The sequence below is a fragment of the Homo sapiens genome, chromosome 12, assembly GCF_000001405.40.
Source record: "Homo sapiens chromosome 12, GRCh38.p14 Primary Assembly".
In the NCBI taxonomy this organism is placed as follows: Eukaryota; Metazoa; Chordata; class Mammalia; order Primates; family Hominidae; genus Homo; species Homo sapiens.
Window position 1 is genome coordinate 76,920,345 of NC_000012.12, and position 9,756 is coordinate 76,930,100.

Below are 9,756 nucleotides of genomic sequence, written 5' to 3' on the forward strand. Positions count from 1 at the left end.
CCAGGCTGCACAGGAAGCATGGTGATGGCATCTGCTTCTGGTGGGGGCCCCAGGATACTTACCATAACAGCAGAAGATGAAGGGGAGCCAGCGTGTGACATGGCCAGAGACAGAGCAAGAAAGAGAGGAAGGAAGTGCCAGGCTCTTTTAAACAGTCAGATCTCACATGAACTCATAGAGTGAGAACTCACTCATTACCACAAGGAAAGCACCAAGTCATTCGCAAGTGATCCATCCCCATGACCAAAACACCTCCTACTAGGCCCACCTCCAACACTGGCGGTCACATTTCAACACATGATTTGGAGGAGACAAAATACCCAAACCATGTCACCTACTAACACTGTGCCCCCTTTAACAGTTACTGCCTTCCTCCCTTGTCCCTTTCAGTAACATTTGTTTATTTCACTGCTTTTTGTCTTTCACTCCTACCTCATTCCTGATGCCTGGGGTCAGTTTGCAAATAAACTACCTGCATGCCTGCCTTTGTCTCAGGCTCTGCTTTCAGGAGAACCCGGATCCTAATAGTTGGTACAATGCTTGGAGATGTGATTTTGGATGGGACTACTTTTGCTCATGAGATGATTAACTAGGCCACTAACCATGCCTGTAGCCCCATTTTCAGATATCAGCTTTTATTCATTAACTCATTTAACGAATATTCATTGAGCATGTACTCTGCTGGGCACAGTAAATCGGAGACAAAAGACAAAAATCTTTGCTTTTATGGTGCTCACGTGATAAGTGTTTGGAGAAAAATAAAGCAGAGGAGGGAGTTTTTGATGTTAAATAGGGTGTTGGGAATGGCCTTGCTGAGCAAAGACTTTGGATGGTGGAAGCCATGTAATGTAGCCTGAGAGAAGAAGGTTCTAATCAAAGGCAAGGACAGCTGCAAAAGCCTTGAGGTATAGCATGCCTGACTGTGCTCTAGAAGCAGCAGGATGCCAGCCACGGCTGGAGGCAGTGGTTGAGGGTGGAATTGAAGGAGATGAGGTTGAGAAGCTGGCCAAAAGGAGCACGACCTTGAAGGCTTTTGTGCAACATTAACAAATTTTTTTTCTTTTTCAAAAGCTTGGCATGGTCTGCTTTACAATCTAAATGCAACAGTCTTGCATTTGGAAAGCCATCTAAACAGGGTACCACAAGCTCAGCTAACTTTCTGATTTCCTTCTCTTGGTTTTCAGAAAAATTACAAACAGATCCTTCAAAATGTTTTATTTGGTAAGATGCTCAAATTTTACTCTTGGCATTGGTATGACCATCTTTGATTTCTTGATTAAACAATACATTTTGAAACATTTATTTATTTTTATTCAGCCACAAATGTAAATTACATATGCTATTGTCTTTATTCTAAAGAGACATTTTGTTTTCTGTAGAAATACTTTACATAAATCATTGTCTACATTCTTTGAAGACCAGCTTATGATGCTGTACATATAATTATTCTCCTTGTTTGAAATGCAGTTTCCACTCACTTGAATTTGCATTTTGATTTTCTTTCCTTTGTTTTTCAATCAAATATTTTCTTGTTAGCCAAGTATGTAAGAGAAATCTAAACTGAATTGTTTTAGTTGAGAGGTATGACATGAATATAACATGAGATTTTATATGGAGTCAATTATTCTTTGCCATAATTAAGTCAGGATGGCATAAAATTAGTTTTCTGGGTCTTTAGTCAATAGTGTTTTTGTTCAAAAGTTTTGAAGATCATTTGAAATACTCACTGACTCATTCAAAGGAGGCATCTTTCCCAAGACTCATTTAGAGTCTTGGGAAAGATGCTGACAACAAGCAACAGACAAATATTTATTCGTGTCCCAGGAGGCACAATTTAACCTGTATCACCCACTCTTTTTTTCATTTATTCCTCCACCCACCCTCCCGTTTCTTTTTTTATGCTTCTGGCTTTTTCTTCTTTCGTTTAAACTCTGCTCCCTTCCTCCAAACCACCTACCCCTAAAAGTCCACCAAAATGCAGTTGACAGGAGGATGAGGTCCAGACTGCAGGCTTGACAAATTATTCCAGTTCCACTTGTTCTTCCATCAAAAGTCCTGTCTAAACACTAGTGACATGTTCCCCAGTGACCAGAGAACTTTCCCACAGGAACAAAATGTTCTCCTCGCTTGGCCAGATTAATGACCTGTGTGAAATCTGCAGCCCGAAATGCTTTAAAAAGGGCATAGAAGTAACTCATGCACTTGAACAGTTGAAAATCTATTCTACTCTTAGGCTCACTACTGTCAACTCCATGAGGGCAGCAGTCGGGATCTTTGTTGTTTGCTTTAGCTCCCCAACCATAAATGAAATGCCTGGAACATACTCTCAATGAGTATTTCTTGAATAAATGAACAACAAACACACTTAATGCAGAGTACTGTGCTGTTTTTAAGTCAAAAGATTCTGTTTATTAAAGTCCTACCTGAAAATAGCAAAGTGATGTAGGAATTGACTTTAGGAAATTCTTGAATCTGCTGGCAAATTGCTGTTAAAAACAACAAATCAGTATCAAATTTGCCCAAACCCAAATAGTACCTTCTGGCAAATGGCCTGTTGAATTTAGGCAAAGTAGATAGTATTGAATCATTTCATGCAACAGATCAAATTTAGTTATGCAGGGGGACATTTGGCAATTGATTCATCTTGGTGAGCTCATAGGGCTGGAACTCTGTTTAAAATAAAACATTTGACTGAAGTCGTGTTGAGATGCACATCTGTTGTTTGTGCCCTAGAGCAGTCATTCACTGTTCTTCTCTAACTGCACTGTGATTTTGGTTAATGTGCTACCAAAGGTGTTAACTCCATTCCCTGCTTCAGCAGAGAAGTGATTCAAACTCAGCTAATCTGAACATCACATTCCCTGGCCCACAATGACTGGATTAGAGATAGTCTCATGAGCCCATCAGAGCCAACGACATGCAATGGTACATCTATTGAGACACTGTGAAGGCAATCCTTTCCCTTTTGCTCCAGATTGTAGTTATGAAGATATTGGCTTTAGCTGTGTTGCCTTTCAAAGGGACAGTGTGTTTGATAATAATGGAACTAACACGAAGGAGAGTAGACTTGGGAGACTGAGAGAAATAAGGTCGAACTTAAACTCTCCATTAGTGTACACCTCAAGCCAAACCTATCTCTGCACTCTTCTGTAATAAGTTCAATATTTATTTAAGCCGGTTTATGCTGATTTTATTTTATTTTATTTTTTGATATGGAGTCTCTGTTGCCCACACGGGAGGGCAGTGGTGCGATCTCGGCTCATTGCAACCTCCGGTTCCCGGGTTCAAGCCATTCTCCTGCCTCGGCCTCCCAAGTAGCTGGGACTACATGCGCCCGCCACCACGCCCAGCTAATTTTTTGTATCTTTAGTAGAGACGGGGTTTCACCATGTTAGCCAGGGTGGTCTCCATCTCCTGACCTCGTGATCCTCCCGCCTTGGCCTCCCAAAGTGCTGGGATTACAGGCGTGAGCCACCGCACCCGGCCCATGCTGGGTTTTTTATCCTTTATGACCAAAAGAGTTAAAACTAATGCATATGATTAAAAGAAAAAGTCTATGGATCCTTTTTAAAAATTCCTAATATAACATATTTGTGCTGTTTTTTCTTTTTCTTTTTTTTTTTTTTTGGTCTCCTGATCAAACTTGCCAAGATTTTTTGTTTGTTTCTATCTTATTAGCCTCACAAAAATTACCTGCTTTTGGTTCTTGTGATCCTCTAATGTTTATTTGTTTTCTGTTTCAATTACTTCTATGCTTATCTTTATTATTTTCTTTCTTGTACTTTCCTTGGCTCTACTCTTTTGTGTTTGTATTTTTTTTTTACTTCCTGTGTTGAAAGCATTAATTTCCAGTCACTTGTCTTTTCTAATCTATGCATTTCAGAGTGTAGACATCTTTCTAACTACTATTTTTGTTGCATCCCTTAGGTTTTACCATAGTTTAATATTTTTATGTTCAATTTTAAAATATTTTCCAATTCCATTTTGATTTATTCCTTGATCCATAAACTCCTTATAATTATATTTTAAAATTTCTGAATGTAGGTATTTGAGGAAGTTATCTTTTTACTAATATATTCTATTTTTACTGAATTGTGAGTAGGCAATATGGGTTAAGTATTATGCTGATTTTTTGGTAGTTCTGAGATTTGCTTTATGACTCAGTATAAGGTCAGGTTTTATATGTTTGAAAATTTGTTATGCTCAGGATTTATGTATACATATTTCCATTAGCCCAAGCTTCATTATTATTTTGTTTAATTCTTAATATTCTTACTACTTTGTGTTTGCTTTATAAACTAGTGAGAAGGATGTTAAAATCATACATTATAATTATGAATTTGTAATTTTCTTATAATATTGTCAATATTTGAACATATATTTTAGCCATATAGTTAGGTAACTATATGCTCAAGATTGCTATATCTTTAGGTAAATTATTTCTTTGTCATTATATAATATTTTTATCTTAAAATCATATTCATATGACATTAATATAACTGCACCAGTTTTTTTCTGGTTAGTATGTACTTATTATATCTTTTCCAATCCCTTTTCTCTGAATTCATCTGTCCTTACGTTTATTTTCCTTTGTGAACAACATGTATCTTAAAACAATTTTTAAATTTTATTAATAGGATGATTAAAAAAGAAAGATAATAGAATACCTAACTAAAAAGCTAATAGAGGAGAAAAGTGGGATAATAAAATAGATGATTAATCCAAAAGAAGAAGTGAATTGAGGAATAAAGGGACAAAGAACAAACAGGACAAATAGGAAACAAATAGTATGATGAGAGATCTGACAGCAATATCAATCATTTTAATAATATAAATAGAATAAATATTCCAGCTAAAAGACAAGGATTGTCAGACTGAATAAAAGACAACAACAGCAACAACTATATTCTCTGGATTCTTTCTTTCTGTCAAGTTGGATCACCAGAGAGCTCTGTTTGAACTGCCTTAATCTAGTCTATAAAATGCTTGCTTTGAGCTGTACTGTAATATTATATTGTCTGCTTATAGTGTTGGTTGATATAAAAAATGGCCAAATAAGGAATATTTCTGTATTATCTGTAGACCCCTGATTAAAGACCTGACGTACTATGTGGTTCAGTGTCTCATATGAGGTTTCATGCAATAAATCTCTCCTGGAGTTAGTGCTAGGGAAAGTTTGGCCTCCTGACAGACTGAAAGCTTTCTCTTATTAGAGTTGTATAAAGTGACATTTTCCTTTCCTGTCTTGTTTACAATAAGCTTAGGGGTAAAATTTGTGATTATTTTTAGTGATTATTCTTAGTCTGTTTTTGGTAGAACTATTTCTGCCTTCCAGTTAATCACCACAAATTGAGCACTAGGTCTGCTTGAAGACTAAGGAAACAAAGGACACAAAGATACAAAATTGCTAAAGACAGATATATAAACAAATAATGATATTATAATAAGGTAAGTGCCATGACAGAGGTACATGCAAAGTGCTCTGGGGACACATGCAGAAATGATTAATTTTACCTAGAATGAGGGAACTGTGAAGGCTTCACAGAAGAGGTGGCATCTGAAGCAGGGTTTAAGCACAAATTAGATTCCACCAGATGGACAAAAACAGACTACAGCAGTGTTGTCCAATAGAAATATAATGTGAGACACACAGGAATTTCATATTTTCTAGTAGCCACATTAAAATAGTAAAAAAAAGACTAATTAATTAATGACATTAATTAAATTAATAATATATTTTAACTCAACATATCCACTCTATTATAATTTCAACAAGTGATAATTTTTCAAAAACATTAATGAGATATTTGACAATAAACTTTTGGTACAACCACTGAAAATCCGGTGTTCATTTCACACGTACATCACATCTCAGTTTGCACCAGCCATGTTTCAAGCACTCAGTAGCCACATGTGCCTGGTGGCCACCATACTGGACAGCATAGAACTAGAGCATTTTCAAGGACAGAAATGAAATAGCATGTCTGGGAAACTACAAGTGAGCCCATGTGGTTAGAGCATGGGGGAGTGAGTGTGTGTGTGTGTGTGTGTGTGTGTGTGTGTGTATTTTGGTGGATTGCGGGGTAAATGGAAGAAAAAGGGACCAGAAAGGTAGATGGAGCAGGAATATGAAAAATGTTTTGACTTTATTACATTAAAATTATTGAAGGTTTCAGCAGAGGAATGCCATTTTCATATCTGTATTTTAAAATTATAATTTGGGAAGCAGTGTGAAAATAGATTTAAGGAGGGCTGGAGATTGGAGCTAATTAAGGAATGTAAGTGACGATTCATTGAAGAGATGAGAACTTGGGTCTGTAGTTCTGAGAGGGTGAGGAAATAATTTGACAGATATTTTTCACTTAATAATCACAGGACTTGGCAACCATTTGGATGTGAGGCATGACAGAGTAAATGAAAATGACATTAGGTTTTGAGCATGGGTAATTGTGAATGCCATTAAGTGAGAGGGAACTTAAAAATAAAGCCAAACTTTGAAAGGGCAATAATTGGTTTGACCTGTTTTGTGGATATTGAGTTGAGGTTTGTAATAAGCATTTGAAAATACTGAGTGGTACCATGTTCAATAATGAGAAAACCTGTATCATAAAAATGACCAAATTGATATACACATTTAATGCAATATTAATGATAATTTTAACTTTTTAGAACTGACTGGATTAATTATTTCAAGTGGAAAAATGAACATGTTAAAATCGCCAAGAAAATATTGAAAGGGCAGAATATTGAGGTATTTGAACAACCAGATAGCAAACTGAATATGTGATAAAATACATTCAAGCTGCCATTATCACATTTTATAAAATAGGAACAAGAAAGGACAGTAATCTAAAAACAAAAGGTACAGGCAAATATGAGACTTAGAAGAGAATTTAGAGGAGTGTCTATCTGCAGAATTTAGGCAGAGTTATGGGAACTAATAAGGGGGTTGAAGCACTTTGGTGACTCTGCAAGGAAGGCATGGAGGAAGAAATAGTCAAACCCCTTTGTCTTTCCAATCTGCTGGCGCCTCCTGTTGGCCAAAGCCAATTTTAAGTCAGGAAACAAGGGGGCCTGGCTCTGGGATACAGGACTGGGGAGATAATGAATCTGAGAGAGCAAAGGAGCATTAATGACACATATGGAAAACTAACATATGACAGCTGGCATTTCAATTCCCTGGGGAGAAAGGCTTTCACAAAATGGCACTAGTTCTACATTTAAAAGAAAATGGTTGAATCATATACTTTAAAAATAAATTCTGGAGGATTAAAGATCTAAATGTTAAAAGTAGCATTTTAATAACTTCTGGTTGAAAAAGGACTTCTTAAGCAAGAGGGGAAACCATAAAGAAAGAGATAGAATAATGTACCTACATTACCCTGCCTCCGATGTGGTATTGCTAAAACAAACAAAAAATTTTTGAATGACAAAAATAATTATCAGCAATATAAAACAAAAAATAATTGGGAAAAATATTTAATACATATTATAAACAAGGGGTAATATTTCCTATATTTGAAAAGCTACAAAACTTAATAAGGAAGTTAACTCAATTTAAAACATGGGCAAATGATATTAATAGGCATCTCATCGAAGGAGTGTAAATGACCGTGATACACATGAAAAAAGTTTCTCATGTTCAGTCTCACTTTTACCCAGGAAAATTTATCATTTATTTATTTATTTATTTATTTATTTTGTGAGATGAAGTCTTGCTCTGTTGCCCAGGCTGGAGTGCACTGGCGCAATCTCAGCTCACTGCTACCTCTGCCTCCTGGACTAAAGCAATTCTTTTGGGATTATAGGCGCCCACCACCACGCCTGGCTAATTTTTGTATTAGCCATGTTGGCCAGGCTGGTCTTGAACTCCTGACCTCAAGTCATCCGCCCCCCCTTGGCTTCTCGAAGTGCTAGGATTACAGGCATGAGCCATCGCACCCAGCCAACCCAGGGAAATTTAAAGCCCAACAATGAGTATAATTTTCATCCATCAGATTGGCATATTTTTTCTCACTATTTTTCTCTTATTGAAAAAAAGACTACATTCACATGTTAAAAAATCAAATCTACTAAAAGGTATATAATAAAGCAAGTCTCCCTCTTATTCTAAATGAATAGTCACCCAGACTCCAGGGCAGCTACGATGGAGAATTTTCTTGGTTGTCGTCCCAGAAATAGCCTCTATATATCAAGTATAGAGTGAAGAAATACACACACATGTGTGTATACATCCACATAGTCCACGTATGTGTGTAGTATAGAGTGAACATATATGTGTGTGTATTAACAGAAACATGCATATTCATTCTGGACATGGTTTTTCATTTCCTATCAATCTACTTCATTATATTTTAGAGCTATATAGTATCCTATACTTGATATGCACCTTTAATCAGGCTTTAGGCTGTTTCTGAACTGTTGCTACTATAAACAATACTATGAAGATTATCCTGTGTGTTTGGGTATACCTGTAAGACAAATTCTAAGATATGTAATTGCTGAATCAAATAATTTGTACAATTCAGATTTAATGGGTATTACCAAATTGCCTTCCAAAGTGGCCACACCAGTTTCACTCCCTGTAACCACAGGTGTTGAAGGATATACATCAAACCATTAATACCAATTACCTTAGGGGTTGGATGGGTAAGAAGCAGATTTTAACTTTTTTTTATACAACTCTGATTTGTTTTACTTTACCCATGAATTACTTTGTAATTATTATTATATTTTAAAAAAGTAAATACCAGTATGAAATTCAATGGACATATATGAGAACAAGCCTCAAGTTAAGCTGACAGCTGGCTATAGAGAAAATAGCTCTATTTAAATGCATGTTTTGTTGTGAGCCTTTTTTGGAAGTAGGAAGCCCACAAATGCATGTAAATATGAAATACAGGAACGCCTGGCTAAAATGGAAACCCTAGACTTATCTTGGCTTACACAAGCCCCTAGAGAGGTGAAAGCCCATGATCTCTACTCTTTACCTGCGGGATGTTTTTTTTGTTTTGTTATGTTTTGTGTTTTTGCACTCCACTAAAAGATTGGAAAATGTTAGCGGCTCTCGCAAATGCACACATGAACTCCTCTTGAAGAAGGTGATTTATCTGGGCCATTAACATGAATGTGCCCCTGACCCTTTCTCATTAAATGCAGGTTATGCTTTAAAGATCTTTAAAAATGTTTACCTCCATTTTCAAAAATTTTCTGTTCTTTTGCATTCCCTACCAGCAGCTCCTTTTCAAGGTGGTGCTGCAGACTTCTGGAGGGCTGAGGCCCTGAAAGGGTGCAGCACAGAAGGAGGGCATCGTTTAGCAAGGGTTCTGTGTGCATTCCTGTCCCTACAGGCAAGAACTCTGTACTAGGGCCAATCAAGGAGGGCCCTACAACTGTGAGTGAGGGCTGGGGCTTCAATGAAAACAAGAAGTTCCTGTAAACTCCTTGGGAAGAAGAAAAAAGGAGTACCTGGGATTTTTGAGAAAAGGTGGTAGGAACTAATGGGAAGGCTGGATAGAGCTATGCGGAAGAGAATTAAAGACTGGGATGCTAAAGGATTTCAGAAAAGAGCCACATAATAAGAATTTTTTTTTTTTTTTTTTTTTTTTTTTTTTTTTTTTTTTGAGACTGAGTCTCGCTCTGTCGCCCAGGCGGGACTGCGGACTGCAGTGGCGCAATCTCGGCTCACTGCAAGCTCCGCTTCCCGGGTTCACGCCATTCTCCTGCCTCAGCCTCCCGAGTAGCTGGGACTACAGG

General features: G+C 37.0%; 1 annotated feature.

Annotated features, from left to right (window-relative positions):
- Positions 9,205–9,499: a silencer, noted in NCBI's record as "tiled region #9474; HepG2 Repressive non-DNase unmatched - State 23:Low, and K562 Repressive non-DNase unmatched - State 23:Low". NCBI's record gives its function as "represses a minimal TATA promoter and a strong SV40 promoter by Sharpr-MPRA in HepG2 and K562 cells {active_cell/tissue: HepG2 | K562}" and the evidence as "EXISTENCE:reporter gene assay evidence [ECO:0000049][PMID:27701403]".